The 20403-nt window shown below is 43.8% G+C and overlaps 1 protein-coding gene and 2 non-coding genes across 4 annotated transcripts in view; all 3 read right to left on the bottom strand.

Moving 5' to 3' along the window:
• CKAP5 (cytoskeleton associated protein 5) overlaps positions 3388 to 20403 on the bottom strand; it is a 103233-nt gene continuing 86217 nt past the window's right edge. The window contains exons 34-44 of one of the 2 annotated variants that reach the window (NM_001008938.4): positions 19609 to 19782; positions 19263 to 19383; positions 15228 to 15407; positions 13650 to 13837; positions 12975 to 13050; positions 11686 to 11874; positions 11458 to 11595; positions 10868 to 10951; positions 10614 to 10773; positions 4766 to 4917; positions 3388 to 4605 (exon numbers count right to left, since the gene is read on the bottom strand). In NM_001008938.4, coding sequence (NP_001008938.1) covers positions 4363 to 4605; positions 4766 to 4917; positions 10614 to 10773; positions 10868 to 10951; positions 11458 to 11595; positions 11686 to 11874; positions 12975 to 13050; positions 13650 to 13837; positions 15228 to 15407; positions 19263 to 19383; positions 19609 to 19782 — 1705 coding nt within the window. In that variant the 3' untranslated portion in view covers positions 3388 to 4362. The remainder of the gene's footprint in view (positions 4606 to 4765; positions 4918 to 10613; positions 10774 to 10867; positions 10952 to 11457; positions 11596 to 11685; positions 11875 to 12974; positions 13051 to 13649; positions 13838 to 15227; positions 15408 to 19262; positions 19384 to 19608; positions 19783 to 20403) is intronic. The other variant, NM_014756.4, reaches the window with a different exon arrangement.
• MIR5582 (microRNA 5582) lies at positions 13465 to 13532 on the bottom strand. The gene has a single exon (NR_049846.1). It is a non-coding gene; the product is annotated as a microRNA 5582 (primary transcript).
• LOC124900314 (small nucleolar RNA SNORD67) lies at positions 19106 to 19213 on the bottom strand. Its single transcript, XR_007063008.1, has one exon. It is a non-coding gene; the product is annotated as a small nucleolar RNA SNORD67 (small nucleolar RNA).

A 20403-nucleotide genomic window follows, 5' to 3' on the forward strand; every position in this document is an offset into this window, starting at 1 on the left:
AGGAGGTGGAGGCTGCAGTGAGCCACTGCACCCCAGCCTGGGTGACAGAGTGAGACCCTGTCCCAAAAGAATCCACTATCTATCTTCAGAGCAGGGCCAGGTGAGAGGAAAGATGGCAGGTTGAATTTACAGGCATTAAAGATGTTCCACCCTCTGGGTTTTAATGGATTATCTCATTTAATCCTCACAAGAGGTAGGTGAGTAAACTGAGATTTGGAGAAGTACCTTGTCCAAAGTCACATGGCTAAGAAAGCTCAAAGTAGGACTTCAAATATAGAAAATATTGAGTGAGGACGGTGCTTTTTTAGTTAACTCCCTACATCTTCCCTTGTATCATTAAAATGATATCAGATCAGGTAGGGCATGGTGGCTCACACCTGTAATCTCAGCAATTTAGGAGACTAAGGTTGAGGCTAGGAATGCGAGATCAGTCTGGGCAATGTGGTGAGACCCCAAAAAATAAAATTAGCTAGGCGTGGTGGCATGTGCCTGTAGTCAAGGTTACTTGGGAGGATCACTTGAGCCCAGGAGGTTGAGGCTGCAGTGAGCCATGATCATGTCACTACACCTGCACTGCAGCCTGGGTGACAGTGAAACCCTGTTTATAAAAATCAGGGCTGGGCACGGTGGCTCAAGCCTGTAATCCCAGCACTTTGGGAGGCTGAGGTGGATGGATCACAAGGTCAGGAGATTGAGACCATCCTGGTGAACACGGTGAAACCCTGTCTCTACCAAAAATACAAAAAATTAGCCAGGCGTGGTGGTGGACGCCTGTAGTCCCAGCTACGTGGGAGGCTGAGGCAGGAGAATGGCATGAACCTGGGAGGTGGAGCTTGCAGTGAGACAAGATTGCACCACTGCACTCCAGCCTGGGCGACAGAGCGACTCTGTCTCAAAAAGAAGAAGAACCAACCATGCATACCAAAATCCACAGATGCTCAAATCTCTTATATAAAATGGCACAGTTTACATATAACCTATGCACATCCTCCCATATACTTCATTTTTAAAATTTATTTTTATCTTTTTGAGTTGGAATTTTGCTCATTGCCCAGGCTGGAGTGCAATGGTGCGATCTCGGCTCACTGCAATCTCCGCCTCTTAGGTTCAAGTGATTCTCCTGCCTCAGCCTCCCGAGTAGCTGGGATTACAGGTGCCCGCCACCACGCCTGGCTAGTTTTTGTATTTTTAGTAGAGATGGGGTTTCACCGTGTTGGTCAGGCTGGTCTCAAACTCCTGACCTCAGGTTATCCACCCATCGGGGCCTCCCAAAGTGTTGGGATTACAGACATGAGCCACCCTGCCCGGCCTTCCCATATACTTCAAATCATCTCTAGATGACTTACACCCAATAGAACGTAAATACTATGTAAATAGTTATACTGTATTATTTTAAAATTTGTATTATTTTTATTGTTTTCTTTCCCCACAAATATTTTCAATCTGCAGTTGGTTGAATCTGCAGATGCAAAACCCACAGATCTGGAAGGCCACCTGTATATTAAAAGGTGTATATAACGACATTACTTACCTCATACGGTTATGAGGATTAAATGAAAGAACTTACATGGTGCCTTAGCACAATGCCTAGTGCCTAGTAAGCTGTGAATCACTACCACTCGTATTCTCACTATTGCCTGGGAACTGGACCGGGCATTGGGCCTGTTGAAAGTTCCTCTGCCGCTTACCTCGTCCCTCTCTTGGGCCCTGGAAATAGCCCATCAGTGGGGTAGTTGCTTCCTGGAATGTTTCCTCACACAGCAGTTCCCAGCTGGAACAATTTATTTTTCCAAGAAATGGGACCTCTAAGTTATAAGAGTCATGGGCTGGGCATGGTGGCTCACGCCTGTAATCCCATCACTTTGGGAGGCTGAGGCTGGTGGATCACCTGAGGTCAGGAGTTGGAGACCAGCCTGGCCAACATGGTAAAATCCCGTCTCTACTAAAAATACAAAAACTAGCCGGGTGTGGTGGTGGGCACCTGTAATCCCAGCTTCTCAGCTGCTTGGGAGGCTGAGGCAGGAGAATTGGCTGAACTCAGGAGGCAGAGGTTGTAGTGAGGAGAGAGGCATGCCACTGCATGCCATCCAGCCTGAGCGACACAGCAAGAGTCCCTTGCAAAAAAAAGAATCATAGAACTTCAAAGATACCCTTTCAGAGCACATTCTTCACGGTTACTGTTGGCAGAGGTCACAGGTGTGGGATGGAGCATGGCTCCGTCTTGAGAAGTCTCATCCATGAGCTCAGGGAAAGAATGAAGATCAACGTCTGCCTCAGGCACAGGATAGTGGAGTGGAGCAGGGAAACCCTGTGGCTACAGTACCTGGCCTAGGATCTTCTAACGTGGTTTTCCACGGGAAGGGACCTGAGATAGGGATCTTTAGCACCCTCCTCATAACGTTTTTTTTTTTTTTTCTCATTTTTCAACACATCAGAAAACAAACAGGACAGAGTTCCTTGGCCTCATTCTTTGGTTCTGGTTGACTGAAAGGCAGTGAGCTTGCAGGATTTGGCAGCCCAGGGCATCAACTCGATCAAGGGGGAAGGGATTCAGAATTACTTGTGACATGCAGGACCTGCTTTTTAAACAAGAACACACATTCTCATAAGTCTGTTTTCTTCCGACATAGCGGTCAGTGTTGTAAGCTCTAGGGACTTGGGTTTTTCCAGTCAGCTGTGCTAATTCCAGACAGGAGTACAGCCACTCTTTTTTTTCCTCTTCTTTTGTTTCCCTCCTCTTTTTTGAGACAAGGTCTTGCTCTGTTGCCCAGGCTGGAGTGTAGTGGAGTGATCACGGCTCACTGCAGCCTTGACCTCCTGGGCTCAGGTGATCCTCCCACCTCAGCCTCCCAAGTAGCTGGGACTACAGGCTTGAGCCACTATACCCAGCTAATTTTTGTATTTTTTTGGTAGAGCCATGTTGCCCATGTTGGTCTTGAACTCCTGGGCTCAAGTGATTCACCCACCTTAGCCTCCCAAAATGCTACGGTTGTATGAGTGAGCCACCAGGCCCAGCCTTTGTAGCCATTCTTTCTAAATATGTCTTTCCACTATAGCAGCAAACGCCTCCATCATCCCTTCAGTGAACAAATACCCACTCCCATGTTCCCACTATAAAGGAGAGACAAGTTTAATTTCAGGAGGCTCCGGGGCCACCTGAAAACGATGACTGGAACCTTTACAGGATTAATCTTCCATCAATCTTTCATTTCTTGGACATCAATTGAATTGAAGGTGGGCTACAATAGGAAAGTTCCTTTGAACTTTATAACTGCCCAAAATCTCCTCCTGAATCCAGAACCTTTTCATCCTGAAGAGTTTTTCTGACTGTGGAGGGAGGTCCTGTGGAATTTATTCCAGAGGTGAATACTCAGCTCACTTTCTCATCCTTACTCTGACTGAATGTGAAGCAACTGTTAGCCTGGACCAAAAGAGACTCATACAACCAAGCAGCAAACCACTAAGATTTCCCAAACTCCATTAGTCAAATGAACACAAATCTAGTTGTAGTGTGAGAACCACTGAAGCCCAGCCAATCTCTGGGCGCAATCTTGTGTGCCTTTGGTCAGCAAAGTGGTAGGATGCCCAAGAGCTTCTTGAAACGACTGGTGATAATTGGAGGGAAATCATGACCAAAATCTCAAAACAAGGAAGGATGAGATTTTTCTGCTCCCTAGGAGCTGTTTGTGGAGAGCAGGGAAGGAGAGTTCCTTCCATTCCAAAGGAATAAAAGACAGCTCCAAGTCTGTGAGCCAAGAAAAAGGGAAGCTCTGTAAGCAGTAATTAACCTTTCTCTAACTGGCTGAATACCCAGCTGGTACCAAAAGTTAAAAAATTGCTGCCCAACACTCCATGATATGGAGCATCTTGGGAGTCAGGTATAGTTAATGCAAACTTTATTTATAAAAGACTCTTAAATTAGTTGTATCATGCCATGCATTCATACAGAATACAGTGACCCTTCAGGGCGACAGAGAAGAGCTCACAAACTGAAAGGAAAACTATTAAAGAGTTTCTAATATTAACTATTAAAAAGCTAGGAAAGATTAGGACAATTTTACAAATGAGCAATTAAAAAGAAAAGAAAAGGATCTGGGAACTAGACTGAGCAGAGAGGGGGCAGCTGTTTACAAGTCTGTACACTAAACTCATCCACGGACAGTCTTCTAGAGCAGCAGGACGCTGACAGAGAGAAGCAGAGTATGTACAAATACTTGTGCCACAATGACTCCTCCCCCTAGCTCCACGGCATGATACATACAACCAGTTTGTATACACTAGGCCTGCTGAGGCCATTTTAAACTATGAGGACTTCTAGTTTAGTAAACTAAAGCTGCAGGGTGCCGGGGGAGTGGGGCAGCTTCATTTGCGACTGCTCTTTATTCTCTCCAGTCTTTTTTTCAAGTCGTCTATGTTAGCTGTGGAGGAGGAGGAGGTCACAGTTCCTGAAGAGTGAGTCTGGTTAGAATCCAGGTCTGAATGCTGGTGCTGCTCCCGTGACTCCCGGAGCTGAGAGAGTTTGCTGTGGAGCATGTCTGTGGAAGAGGCGACAGTAGGAACTGCTGGTTTGGAGAGCAAAGAGGTCAAAGGAGGTCGGTCATCTTGCTATTGAGAGAAGGAGAGAGATTGTCTAAGGTCAGGTCAAGCAGGTCAAGATGCAGCTCCAGAACTACAGCAAGACTAAGCCACTTCTCTGTGGGCCAGCCTGCCTCGGACCTGCTTGTGACTACCCTCCCTGAACTGCACAGAAGAAAAGGAGCAGTACCTTTGTGTTGTCCAGACCACATCGCTGTCGGAGGATCTTTAGCCTTTCCAAGTAGACAGATGGCCCCACTTCTTCCCCATTTGTGTTACCTATGGAGGACACTGTGCTTGTGGGCGTGGGCACACATGTGACTTCCATCTGAGGGGAGATGCCTAGAGGGGAAAAAGTAGAAAGAATATTCAGATATCCACATATCCCCCTTCTAAAGTGCCTTGGTTAATCTCCCACCAAAAAGAACAATTAAGAATTTCCTATACTTGAAAACGACAAATTCCACAAGAATCTACCTGGAGTTGGTGATAAGGGTGCTCTGAAATATACAATATAAGCTTCTTGAGAATGCAAAAAACTGATATAGAAAGGCAGAATGTAAATTGGGTCATCCATCTGCATCCTGGGTTATGCAGGGGATTGTACTCCAGTAATCCCAGGGCTGACTTGGGCAATCCAAAAAGCTGAAGCTACTCCTAAGCATACTGTAATTGCCCAACTGAAAAACCCGAGGACCTTAAATGTTTGGAAGAATTAGATTAAGTTTGGACCAATGTCACATAGGAGAAACTCATTTGAACCTGTGAAGGAAGCAAGGTGTCCAAGGCTATGGTGTATTCATGGGGAAGAGAAGGTGTCCAACAATTATCTAAAGAGGGCATAGAACTGGAGTGTCTGTAACCCTACCACTAAGATCAATATTCTGGCAGGAGAGAGGAAAACCAAAACAACAAAAAATCCATCACACTTCCTAAATTTCTGAGAATGAACAATGATACAATGCGGGCCTTTAAAATATTTCACTTGGTATCAATGCAAATGCATTCCACAGGCCCCAAAGGTAAGGTACTGGGAGGAAACACTGCCTTATGGTAAATAGAAAAGTAGAAAGGTTACTCCAGGGAAAAAGGACTCCTTTAATGTAAAGATGAGGAGAATCCTCTGAGGGGGTGAAAAATGAATGAAGAATTATGTAAAAGCCAGCAATATGAGATGTCTGAATACTCTAAGGCACAAAATCAATTTAATAATCAGTGGGAATACATGCTTGGGTTGCAAATGTGCTGTTTAGGCCAAAATTATCACACGTTGAACATCCCCAAAAAGGGCTTTGGAAACAAGGATAGGATGCCTGCCCTGATCAAACCATGGTATGTTTACATGTGGCATACTGTTGGACATTCTGCACACCACACTTTAACTCCTAAGAGGTCTTTTTCATTAAAGACCAGCCTGGGCAACAAAAAGAGACCCTGGCTGGGCACAGTGGCTCATGCCTGTAATCCAAGCACTTTGGGAGACCAAGACAGGTGGATCACTTAGAGGTCAGGGGTTCAAGACCAACCTGGCCAACATGGTGAAACCCTCTTAAAAAAAATTCAAAAATTAGCTGGGGGTGGTGGCACACACCTATAATCCCAGCTACTCGGGAGGCCAAGACATGAGAATCACTTGAACCCAGGAGGCAGAAGCTGCAGTGAGCCGAGATCGCACCACTGTACTCCAGCCTGGGTGACAGAGTGAGAACCTATCTCAAAAAAACCTCAAAAAATAAAAACACTTGTAAAGTCTTGGAAAGGCGTAATTTAAGGTGTCAAAAACAAAAAAGAACTCCTATTTAAGAGAACAAAATTTAACTGAAGCTTCAGCCCAGCAAGATACAGGCTGAGAGTGGATATGATCAGGGTCTGAAAAACACAAAGGGACATGCTTTGACAGGCAAACACATTCTCAAATGTAAGAGTAGGTGAATGTCACTAAACTCGGAAAGAACTAAGCATAGAACTGATGAGAGGGCACTTTTGCAGTTGGGTCTGTCTTGTCTTGGTTTAAGGCTCATGATAGCTATTTTCTATAACTGAAACCTCCTAAGTCTTCTGTTTGTCTCTAGATCCTGTGAGCAGTAATTCTCGAATAGGGACTTTTTCACTGTGGGGGCAGTAACATTTCAGCTTAAACTTAGTTACTGCATTCATTTATATCATTTAACAAATATCATCATGTGTGGCTTAAGGGCAGGGATACATTCTGAGAAATGCATTTGTTAGATAATTTCATTGTTATGTGAACACCTAGTTGGTATAACCTGCCACACACCTAGGCTACAAGCCTGTACAGCATGTTACTGTACTGAATACTATAGGCAATGTTAACACAAAGTATTTATGTATCTAAACATAGAGAAGGTACAGTAAGAATGTTGTATAAAAGATAAATGGTACACCTGTATAGGACATTTACCAGGAATGGAGCTTGCAGGACTGGAAGTTGCTCTGGGTGAGTGGTGTGTGAAGGTGAAAGCCTAGGACACTACTGTCAACTTTATAAACACTGTACACTTAGGCTACACTAAACTTATACAAAAATAATTGTGCTATGACATTATGACAGCTATGGTATCATCAGGTGATAGCAATTTTTCAGCTCCAGCTGGGTATGGTGGCTCACACCTGTAATCCTAGGTCTTTGGGAGGCTGAGGTGGGGGGATCACTTGAGACCAGGAAGACCAGGAGTTCAAGACCAGCTGGGGCAACATGGTGAAACCCTGTCTCTACTAAAAATACACACAAAAAATTAGCTGGGTGTGGTGGCACGCAACTGTCCAGCTACTCGGGAGGCCAAGGCAAAAGAATCACTTGAACCTAGGAGGTGGAGGTTGCAGTGAGCCGAGATCGTCACTGCATTCCAGCCTGGATGACAGAGTGAGACCCTGTCTCAAAATAAATAATCTTATGGGACCACCATCATATATGCAGTCCATCACTGGGCAAAATGTTGATATGCATGACTAGACACAGATGCTGAACAATTAACCTAATAAATACTACATTATATAGTATGTTAGAGGTGTAAGTGCTATGGTGGGGTGAGGGATAGGTTGCAAGTTTTAAACAATAAGGTTTTACTGGCCAGGCACAGTGGCTCATGCCTGGGAGTACTTTGGGAGGCCAAGGCAGGTGGATCAACTGAGGTCAGGAGTTGGAGACCAGCCTGGCCAATACGGTGAAACCCCGCCTCTACTAAAACTACAAAACTTAGCTGGGCGTGGAGGTGCACGTCTATAATCCCAGCTACTCGGGAAGCTGAGGCAAGAGAATCTCTTAAGCCTGGGAGGCGGAGGGTGCAGTGAGCCAAGATCGTGCCATAGCACTCCAGCCTGGGCGAGAGAGCAAGACTTCATCTCAAAAAAAAAAAAAAAAAGGTTTCACTAAGATGGTGGTATTTGAACAAAGATGTGAAAGAGGAAAGGGAGCTAGGCAACAAAGCCATCTAAGGAAGAGCATTTATGTGTAAGAAATAGCCAGTGCAAAGGCCCTAAGAAGACATATGCCTGGTGTGTTCCAGAAACAACCAGGGGGAGGCCAGGCGTGGTGGCTCACACCTGAAATCCCAGAACTTTGGGAGGCCGATGTGGGTGGATCACTTGAGCCCAGGAGTTAGAGACCAGCCTGGGCAACAAGGAGAAACCCTGTCTCTACAAAAAATACAAAAATTAGCCAGGCATGGTGGCATGCACCTGTAGTCCCAGCTACTCGGGAGGCTGAGGCAGGAGGACTGCTTGAACCCAGTGAGCCATGATTGCGCCACTGCACTCCAGCCTGAGTGAGAGAGCGAGACCCTGACTCTAAAAGAAACAAGGGGGCTGGTGGGGCTGGAGTGAAACAACAGGAAGAGGACTAGGTGATGAGGTACTAGGGGCACTGGCGGGTCCTATAAACACAGGACCTCAGAGACCTTTAAAGGGCCTTTTGCTTTTGCTGAGTGAAAGGGAGAGCCTCTGGAAAATGTTTCATTAGAGTCATTCTGATGCTATGTGTAGAAAAGAACAGAGGAAGGCAGGGTGGAAGCAGGGAGATCAAGCAGGAAGATAGTACAGTAATACAGATGAGAGAGAACACACACACCAAGGTGGTAGCAGTGAAGAGAAGTGTGGATGAATTCTGCATATGGTTTGCAGGTAGAGCCAAAATAATTTCCTGACGGAAAGGAAGAGAAGACTCAAAAGCTTTGGATCTGAACAAACTCGAAGGATAAAGTTGCCATCAACCAAGATGGAGAAGAATGTAAATGGATCGGCTGGGCATGGTGGCTCACGCCTGTAATCCCGGAACTTTGGGAGGCCGAAGTGGGCGGATCACGAGGTCAGGAGATCAAGACCAGCCTGGCCAACATGGTGAAACCCCGTCTCTACTAAAAATACAAAAATTAGCCATGGTAGCAGGCATCTGTAATCCCAGCTACTCGGGAGGCTGAGGCAGGAGAATTGCTTAAACCCGGGAGGTGGAGGTTGCAGTGAGCCAAGATCGCACCACTGCACTCCAGCCCGAGCAACAGAGCGAGACTGTCTCAAAACAAAACAAAACAAAACAAAAGTCAATGGATCAGGCTTACGGGATGATCAGGACTTTAGTTTTTTTGTTTGTTTGTTTTTGAGATGGAGTCTCGCTCTGTCGCCCAGGCTGGAGTGCAGTGATGCGATCTCGGCCCAGTGCAACCTCCGCCTCCTGGGTTCAAGTGATTCTTCTATCTCAGCCTCTTGAGTAGCTGGGACTACAGGCGCACGCCACCACACCCAACTAATTTTTGTATTTTTAGTAGAGACGGGGTTTCACCATATTGGCCAGGCTAGTCTTGAACTCCTGACCTCGTGATCTGCCCGCCTCAGCCTCCCAAAGTCCTGGATTACAGGCGTGAGCCACCATGCCTGGCCAGGACTTTAGTTTTTGACATGTAGAGTTTACAATGTCTATGTGAGGCTGGGCATGGTGACTCAAGCCTGTAATCCCAGCACTTTGGGAGGCCAAGGTGGGTGGATCACCTGAGGTCAGGAGTTCAAGACCAGCCTGGCCAACATGGAGAAACCCCATCTCCATTAAAAATACAAACATTAGCTGGGTGTGGTGGCACCCGCCTGTGGTTCCAGCTACTCAAGAGGCTGAGGCAGGAGAATCACTTGAACCTGGGAGGCGGAGGTTGCAGTGAGCTGAGATTACACCACTGCACCCCAGCCTGGGTGACAGGGTGAGACTCCGTCTCAAGAAAAAAAAAAAAAAAAAAAAAATCTATTTGAAACCCAGGTGGAGATATCATGTAGGATATAGCAGTTTGGAAATCAGGAAGGAGGTCTAAGCTGGAGATTTAAATGTTATTTAAAGTGGTGAAAGTAGATGAACTCATTAAGGAAATAAGAGAAAGAGAGAAGACAACCATAGACTGAACCCTGGGGGATGTCCACATTAAAAGGTCAGAGTGAGGCCAGGCGCAGTGGCTCATGAGCATCATCTCAGCACTTTGGGAGGCTGAGGCGGGCGGATCACCTGAGGTCAGGAGTTCCAGACCAGCCTAACATGGAGAAACCCCGTCTTTACTAAAAATACAAAAAATTAGCCTGGCGTGGTGGCGCATGCCTGTAATCCCAGCTACTCGGGAGGCTGAGGCAGGAGAATAGCTTGAACCCGAGATTGCACCACTGCACTCCAGCCCGAGCAACAAGAGTGAAACTCCATCTCAAAAAAAAAAAAAAAAAGAGGTCAGAGCAAGTGAGCAAGAATCAGTCAAAGGCCAAGAAGGAATAGCCAGTGAGACTGGAGGAAAACAAGACAGCATGGAGAACTGGAAGCGAAGTGAAGAAGCTGTCTCAAGGGCAGGGAACAATTTATTTACCATTGTCAAATACTGATGATGGGTCAATTCAGGTGGCTAAGAATTGACCACTGGATATAGCAATGGGAAGGCCATTTGGTGACCATTAAGTATTGAGGTTCATGGATATGAATTTAAACTAACCAAAACTTCAGGTTCCTGTGCTAGGAGCTATTTTGAGCTTATTCCTGGAGCTATAACAGGAAACCATACCTGTTGAAGTGGAAATACGACCTTTGCCCTCCCTCTCCATCTCAATCACCCGAAGGCCTCTTTCGACATAGCTCTGGAAGAACTGTGAGGAATTTTTCAGAAATGGTTCAATGTCAGCATCTGAGTATTTCTTCTTATATTCATATAACTCTGCTAGTCCCTGGTGAACAGGAAAAGGGAAGAGGTGGGGATGAATGTTAGTGTCCCTTTACCATAAAGCAGACCCCTATTCTGCTTAACCCTTTCACTCTCACCTCTTTAGTGTTTTCTTTAGAGCCAATCTTCTTAAAAATCTCAGCTAAGAAATCATTCACTTTGGCCTTTGATGATTTTTCATCCTGAAAAGTTGAAAGACATAGGAAGAATTGGTTAGACTTGAGTTATTAATTAGGAACTGATGGTTGGATATGAACAGAAAATATCTCAAAATCTGGGCCTTATTGGTATGTTCCTACAGATAACAGATGCACCGATGATGCAGGTCTTGCAGCAGAAGCACTAACATTCTGTGTTACTGAATGCCTCCAGTCTCAGATTTCCACCTCAACTTGATGGAGAAGGAACTGACATATTCTTTCCATGTTAAGCAGAACTAGCTATTTATCTGGTGACCAATGCCTTAGGCATCTTTCTTGGGGACCAAAAAACACATGGTTATACTTAGTTTAGATTTTAAAATTTCAAGGTGGAAATGGTTACTGCACCACAGCAGGAGACTGATTCAACCAGTCCATGAGCCTTCACCTTGGACCTTCGGAAAGCATATCCTGGTGACCTACACCTTAGATAAGATCACTTCCGGTGTAGCCTCATGTCCCTCAATCTTTCAAGTCAGGCCACTCACTATTCGAGATGCTCCCTTTTCTGTTTCCTTATCAGACTTGCTCCCAGTCTGGTCCATACTGTGCTTCATCATCCGGCAGAGATGGGCCTCCAGCTCAGACTCGTTTTTGTTGTCGATCATCGTTAGGTGGTCCAGGATCTGAGGGAGACACATGCATGACTGATAGCACTGCCATTTCCATGATTTTCTCTCAAGCTCCCTCAGAGACCAGTTGCGATTCTTACTCACCTTGGGCCCTTTTAATTTGCATAAGGTGTGTAGCAGGGTCTTTAGGGTCCTTATGGGAAATTCACTTTTGCATTGCTTCAGTTTCTCTTTGGGGAAGACCTTCATGAAAATGTGGATATCCAGAAGAATTCTGTCTAGGTTAATGCTATTGATGGTATCAGGCAACAGTCGAACCATTCTCCAGAGACACTATTGAAAAAAGAATAAAAGAGTTAGGAGTGACTGAAGAATGAGGATAATTTGTCACCATTCATCTTCCCTAAGCTTTGAGCTCACTTCTAAAAGATGGCCAGGGCTATAAATGTGGCACATCATATCTTTCAAGTTCAGCTGCTAAAACATGAAAATTTTTAATCACTTCTACCATGACACCAGCTGAAGTGTGTCCAGTCATTCATCTAATCATCCATCTCTACTCCTTCCCACTCCCCAGAGCTAGGGGCCATCATTTAACCTGGTAGAAATTCTCTCTTGGGTTTCCTTCGTTCCTGAGAGTAAAGTAGTTCATGTTGCTTAACCAAATCTAATGCAAGGGGACAAAATATCTGATACTAATTCAGTGTAATAACAGTATTACAATGTTATAAATATGTTCATTTGGTCTCTTTCACAAAAGAGACCAAATATCATAGGGCTGTAGATATCTTTTTCCCCAAAATAAATGAAATCTGTTTCAAACTTCTTTCCTTTTGATCCTCAGAGAATTAGTAAAATATTTACAAAATATTTCCTCCCTTTCACTGTTTGAGGCCACGAACTGTTTAGGCCTGAACTTAGAATATAAATTGTAGGAAGGGAAAAACTGAAGACCAATTCATATATATATATATATATATATATATATATATACACACACACACACACACACACACACACACACACACACACGTGTATTATATACATATATAACATATTAAGATATACATATATAATACATATATACATATATATAATACACATATATATAAAAAACCATATATATATTTTTTAAGAGATGGGGTCTCACTGTTGCCAAGGCTGGAGTGTAGTGGTATGATCAAGCTCACTTCTGGGTTCAAGTAATCTCCTCAACTCAGCCTCCTGAGTAGCTGCTACTATAGGTGCATGCCACTGCACCTGGCTAAATTTTTAAAAATTTATTAATATTTTTATTACGAAAAATATATTTTCAGGTGTGACTTGGTTGATTTGAGCCTATGTCTTTCTTAGCTCCAATTCCTCTTTCCCCATACTTTTAACAAAGTGATTGCATCTTTGAAAGAAAAGAGATCAAATCATTTCAACTTCACCTTCATAACAAGCTCTGAGAATTTGGGAGAACTGGCTGTTGCTAGCAGGCTGTCTTGGAGCAAAACAAGTAGGGCACTGGAAGAAAAACCCAACACAACAGCATTAAGTTTCAAACCTGCATTCCAATTAGAATCAGCAGTTGAAAGGGCAAGTGAGATTACTCTATTCATCTAATAAACTGAGAGGTCATGGATCAGGAATTGTCCTGGACTACCTGACATTCAGTTAAGAAAATAAACATTGTTTAAGCCTTTTAAGTCACCACTTGGTAAGTGTAAGGTTTGTGACTCTATTTTTCATTGTCATTGGTAGCTGAGAAAGAATAAAATGTACCTGAAATGTACAAGAAAAATGTAACTGACAAACTTTACAGTCCTATTATAGAAAATGCATGATATTGGCTGGCTAACTAAGTATTTACTAGTTTTAGCTATGGTCTCAGGCTAAAATACCTTTGGTCCATGATGAAGAAGAGTAATAAATCAACTTCCTAGGCACACTTAAAGTTTTAACTGATATAGTTATAACTGATGTAGCTATAACTTTAAGTGTGCCTAGGAAGTTGATTATGATTGTTAGGTTGCCTAGGAAGTTGACTTACGGACATTATGGTTTCTAAGTGTAAACAAAAGCGAGGATGCCCCAGGCTCTATTGGCTGAGAGTACAGATATACCTCAGGATGTTGGTCTGGTCTGACTTCTCCAGAACCTTCACCACCAAGAGGTTCACAGAGCGGATGACCTGTTGTCCTTCCTCAAGATCTTCAATCCGAGAATCCAGCATTAAGGTGATGAGGCCATGCATTAGGTCTTTTAGTACTCCAGTGGAGGCCTCCCGGGCAAGGCTCTCTATCTGAAACAGCTATCCAGACATACTTGTGTCAGGGAGGTGTAAAACTCAATATAGAGAGTAAAGAAATGTGGGTGGCATATTCTGATAAATATTCAATTATGTTGTATTTTTTTTTTGAGACGGAGTCTCCTCTGTCGCCCAGGCTGGAGTGCCAGTGGCGTGATCTTGGCTTACTGCAAGCTCTGCCTCCCCGGTTCATGCCATTCTCCTGCCTCAGTCTCCCGAGTAGCTGGGACTACAGGCACCCACCACCACGCTGGGCTAATTTTTGTATTTTTTTTTTTTAGTAGAGATGGGGTTTCACCGTGTTAGCCAGGATGGTCTCGATCTCCTGACTTCGTGATCCACCTGCCTTGGCCTCCTGAAGTGCTGGGATTACAGGCGTGAGCCACCGCGCCCGGCTATGTTATATTTGTAAAAATTCAGAGTATTAAAGAAAAAACAAAATCACCACACTCCCCCAAGCCTCTAGTAATAGGCAAAATTAATCGGTGTGCTTCTAATTGTGAAATTTTTTGTTTTTTTTTTGAGACAGAGTCTTGCTCTGTTGCCCAGACTGGAGTGCAGTGGCACGATCTCGGCTCACTGAAAGCTCCGCCTCCTGGGTTCAAGCAATTCTCTGCCTCAGCCTCCCGAGTAGCTGGGATTACAGGCGCCCGCCACCAGGCCTGGCTAATTTTTTGTATTTTTAGTAGAGATGGGGTTTCACCATCTTGGCCAGGCTGATCTTGAACTCCTGACATTGTGATCCACCCGCCTTGGCCTCCCAACGTGCTGAGATTATAGGTGTGAGCCACTGTGCCTGGCCAAAGTATTTGTTTTTACATGTGAAATTATTTACTGTTATGCCAAATTTGTAATTTCTGGCTAGTTGGTGTCATTAAGTCCACCCTTTTAGCCCCAGTTTAAGAAAGAATATTGAAATCTGAGTGAGAATGTCTTTATTATCCTTATAATCTGCTCTACAGGTAAAACATTAACAAATTTTTTCCCTTTTATTTTTAGTTGACATGTAATAATTGTACAAATTTATGGAATACAGAGTGGTATTTCAACACATGTATACAATGTATACTGATCAAACCAGGCTAATTAGCATTTTTAATAGAACCATACTTATCTGTGGAAAGGCAGCTATGGCCTACCATGCCTGATGAAGAAACTGGCCGGAAGAAGCTAGGTAGTCTGTAAGCATGTTACTTTATATCCTAACAGTAAGGTGGGATGGAGTGTAGCCAAACATCCAATGGAAGCCATCAGTAGCTTGCTATATACAATGCATGTAAAATTCTACCAAGTGACACAGGACTCACTGCAACATCTGCATGGACTCTGGCTTTTGAACCTCTGTAGGCTGAGAGATTGATGGGAAGCTGAAATTCTGCAGAGGTGCCCTTACCGAAATCATGTTGCCAATGATACAGCTATACAACTTGATGATCTCGTCCTTCTCCAATTTCTCATCTGCCATGTGTGTGTTGTAGATGAGTCTTAGCTGCATAAAAGTGGCTATCAGAAACTGATCAATATGGCCGGACATGGCTTCAGCTTTGTCTTCCTGTCTCAGGACCTCATCGATCTGATAACAAAAATTTCAAGATATATTTTCCAAGCTTCATACTTCTAAAATAGCGGAAGACACTATATGAAACTTCTCCATAAGAATATTTATTAGCAAAGTACTTCTAAAGTCTTACCTTAAAAAAAAGCCCATTTACTTATTTATTTTATTCATTTATTATTTTGAGAGAGAATTTTGCTTTCACCCAGGCTGGTGTGCAGTGGCACGATCTTGGCTCACTGCAACCTCCACCTTCCGGTTTCAAGTGATTCTCCTGCCTCAGCCTCCTAAGTAGCTAGGATTACAGGCGCCTGCCACCACGCCAATTTTTGTATTTTAAGTAGAGACGGGGTTTCACCATGTTGGCCAGGCTGGTCTCGAACTCTTGACCTCGTGATCCACCCACCTTGGCTTCCCAAAGTGCTGGGATTACAGGCGTGAGCCACCGCACCTGGCCCCATTTAAATATAAATAACTAGTCCTTAGGGATTCAGTCATTCGGCAAATATTTACTGAGCAAGATACTAGATACATTAGTCACAGGTTCGATTCTAAGAGGCTCATTGTCTAGTTCAGGGAATAATAATCCTTATGTTTGGCTGGGCACAGTGGCTCACATCTGTAATCCCAGCACTTTGGGAGGCCAAGGTAGGTGAGTCACTTGAGGTCACGAGTAGGAGATCAGCCTGGCCAACATGGTGAAACCCCATCTCTACCAAAAATAGAAAAATTAGCCTGGCATGGTGGTAGGCACCTGTAATCTCAGCTACTCGGGAGGCTGAGGCAGGAGAATTGCTTGAACCCAGGAGGCGGAGGATGCAGTGAACCGAGATCACGACACTGAACTCCAGCCTGGGTGACAAAGCGAGACTCCGTCTCAGAAACAAAACAAAAATACTTATGTTTAAATGTTCAATTTATTAAAAAGAGTGCTTTTTAGACTCTTCAGACAGGGCTGATATTAAGATCTCCATTTAACAGATGAAAAGTGAGGCTCAGAAAGATCAGACTACTGGTCCAAACTCAAAAACTCAGCTTTCTCACATACTGGTCCAGTGTTCTGTTGCAGTACACTGGTTGTCACTAATGATAATAAGGCATTGTTTATATCTAATCTATTGGCAAGTTCTGTGGATTCTACTTCCAAAAGAAACCCTGAAACCATGACTTCCTTCCTCTTCACCATTATCATCCTAGTGGCACATAATATCTTTCATATAAATTTTGGCCACAACTTCCTAAAAAAATTGCTGAATTCACTCTTGCCATGCATATAATCTTATCTCTAGAGCAGCCAGAGTAATTTCTTCCACAATTAATACAAACAAAAAACCTGCAAAGGTGAAAAAAAAAGTACATTACAGAAACGTTGAAAGGGTAGTAAAGGAACTCTTTTATCCTGAATCATTTAAGAGTAAGTTGTCAATCTGATGTTCCATACCCTGATACTTTAGGGTATACTTATTAACAACAAGGACATTCTCCTTCATAAGTACAATAAAACCATCAACATCAAGAAATTAACATTGATGTTACTACCATCTAATCCTCAGACCCCATTCCATTTTCTCTAATGACCTCAATTATGTCCTTTAAAGCAAAAGACCAGTCGAGAATCATGCACTGCATTTACCTGTCATGTCTCTCAGTCTCTTTATAGTGTAGGACAGTTCTTCAGTGTTTCCTTGACTTTCTGGACCTTGAATTTTTTTTTTTTTTTTTTGAGACAAAGTTTCATTCTTGTTGCCCAGGCTGGAGTGCAATGGCACAATCTTGGCTCATAGCAACCTCCACCTCCCGGGTTCAAGCTATCCTCCTGCCTCAGCCTCCGGAGTAGCTGGGATTACAGGCATGTGCCACTATGCCCGGCTATTTTTTTTTTTTTTTGTATTTTTAATAGAGTCAGGGTTTCTCCATGTTGGTCAGGCTGGTCTCGAACCCCTGACCTCAGGTGATCTGCCCACCTCGGCCTCCCAAAGTGCTGGGATTATAGGCATGAGCCACAGCGCCCAGCTTTGACCTTGAATCTTTATAAAATGTCCTTAATTTGTATTTCTCTGATGTTTCCCATGATTCAGGTTATGCAACATTAGAATTATCAGCAAAGTGATGTGGAACTGTCACTGGATCCTATCAGTGTAGCACATAATTTCCTTTTATCACCCTGACGCAGTGGCTCACGCCTGTAATCCCAGCACTTTGGGAGGCCGAGGCAGGTGGATCACCTGAGGTTGGGAGTTCAAGACCAGCCTGGTCAACCTGGTGAAACCCTGTCTCTACTAAAAACACAAAAATTAGCTGGGCGTGGTGGTGGGTGCCTGTAATCCCAGCTGCTAGGGAGGCCGAGGCAGGAGAATTGCTTGAACCCAGGAGGCAGAGGCTGCAGTGAGCTGAAATCGCCCCACTGCACTCCAGACTTGGCAACGGCGAGACTCCATCTCAAAAAAAAAATTACAAAAAAATTTTCATTTTGTCACATTGTTGTTGATTCACTTTGGGTTGTTTTATTTTTTATTTTTTAAATTTTATTTATTTATTTGTTTATTTTTTGGAGATGGAGCGAGATCTCGCTCTGTCACCCAGGCTGGGGTACACTGGCACGATTTCGGCTCACTGCAACCTCTGCCTCCTGGGTTAAAGTGATTCTCCTGCCTCAGCCTCCTGAGCAGCTGGGACTATAGGCGTGCGCCACCATGCCCAGCTAATTTTTGTATTTTTAGTAGAGACGGGGTTTCACCACATTGGCCAGGCTGGTCTCGAACTCCTGACCTCGTGATCCACCCACCTTGGCTTCCCAAAGTGCTGGGATTACAGGTGTGAGCCACCACACCTGGCCTATTTTTTTTTTTTTTTTTTGAGACATGGTCTCACTCTGTCACCCAGGCTGGAGTATAGTGGTGCAATCACAGCTCACTGCAGCCTCAACCTCCCAGGCTCAAGCAATCTTCCTGCCTCAGCCTCCTGAGCAGCTGGGACTCCAGGCAGGAGCCACCATACCCACCCATGACTTCTCTTTTAAAAAATTTCTAATGGTTTCCTATCATAATTGAAATAAAATCCAAACAACTCACCCTGGTGCTTTTAAAGCCCTACATGATATGATCACTGTCTGCCTCTCAAATCTCATTCTGTATCATTGTCCCCCTTTAACACTATGCTCCAGGCACATGAACCTTCTCTTATTTCCTTGAACTTCACGCTCATTTCTGCCCTAAGGCCTTTGACCACTAGCTCTTTCCTCTCCTTGGCATACTCTAAGCCCCAAGGATATCAGAGTTTTCCTGATCACCCAGTCTAAGTATCTACTCACTTCCTTTCCGTCATTACCCCATTTAAGTTATATTTACACAGTTGTTACAACTGTGTGATATTTTCTTGTTTACTTGTCTCTGTCCACTAAAATCTAAATAAGTTCCATGAGAGTTGGTCCTTACTTGTTAGCTGCTGTTTTATCTCTAGCCTCTGGTGAATCAATGCAATTATAAAAAATGCAAGGCTTAGCTAGGTGCAGTGATGCAAGCCTGTTGTCCCAGCTACTCAGGAAGCTGAGAGAGGAGGATTACTTGAGTCCAGGAGTTTGGGGCTGCAATGTGCTATGATAGTGCCTGTGAATAGCCACTGTACTCCAGCCTGGACAACATAGTGAGACCTGGTCTCAAAAGAGGAAAAAAAAAAAAAAAAATAAGGCTCTATTAGAGTCACATCCTCTGAGGCAAGTGATGACTGAGTGGCACCTGTGCATTTCTTTCCTCGGGAAAGTATGAAACACTGCCTGCATCCCCTAATGCTATGACTCTGCGAGTGTGCAATTCATCACATTTATAGCCTCTATGTCCACCAATGGAATCCCTGTCACGGGAGCACACCCATTACCTGTGTCAGAGCTTGGATACTTGTGTTGATGTCACCACTGGCTACTTGGGAGATAATGAAATTGATTGTGGATGCTGTATTACTGTGCATGTCATCGAAGTGTGGAGAAACAGCCCGGATCCTAGATAGCAGAACAAAGAGAAAACTTCAACCTCTATTACAAGACATCCCAGTCAGTTGGAGTTATACAATTCTCCACTAGGTCCAGGTCTTAGTTAACAACTGCTATCATTCAAAAAATAATCAGTTCTAAAAAGTTTTAACTGCACATTACAAAGGGCACATTTCACGTAGGCCGTCTGATCATCATGAACTGCTCATATTTAAATGAAAGAGTTTAACTCACTTGGGTTCAGGAATAAGGACTGGCTCAAAAATGTCATCCAGTTTGTGCTGAACAAGTTCTGGCATTTCACATCGGACTGTACCATTGTCATTCTCAATCTCATCTAGATCCAGCTGGAATTCTCGGCGGACCATCTGGGCTGCCTCAGGATGCCCACTCATGCTTCGGGCTTGGCTAAGGGAAGCAAAAGGAGGCTCCTGAACTAAAAGAGACTTCTTAACCAAAGGGCAAGAGTAGCACTGTCAGTTGCCCCAAAGCTTCAGGACAGATGTTCAACTTCTGGTTTCAGCCCCCCTGAATGATTTAAGTCCCTGAGTCTAAGCAAGTGCCTTTAATAGGTAACAACATTGGTTCATGAATATCCTAAGAGGGCAGATAACTTTAATTTGTACTTACATTACCTGCCAAGTTATAAGTATTTGTTCTAGTTCACTAAAGCCAACAAACCTTGTATTTCTATTCCTGAAGGGGCAGAAAACAATAAAATATATTTGTATTGACTCAAAGTTCACTACTTATGAGCAAATATATAAGAAAAATTTAGACTGGCTGGTTCTTTTCCACCAAATTAACCAGTGCTTTAATTTTGCTAATCATAAGTACCATTCCATGCCGTGTTCAGCACATTTTATATTTTGTGAGACCACCAGTCACCCCTTTTTAGAATATTCACTCTTGACAGGTCAGGGCCAGCTTTACATCCAAGAAATAGGGATTCAAAGTTTCCAAATTCAAGTTCGTTAAAATTATACTCATGACACAACCCAAAATAGAGCTGTCTTGCTTAGGAGGCAG

Source organism: Homo sapiens, chromosome 11 (assembly GCF_000001405.40).
Source record: "Homo sapiens chromosome 11, GRCh38.p14 Primary Assembly".
NCBI classification, from domain to species: Eukaryota; Metazoa; Chordata; class Mammalia; order Primates; family Hominidae; genus Homo; species Homo sapiens.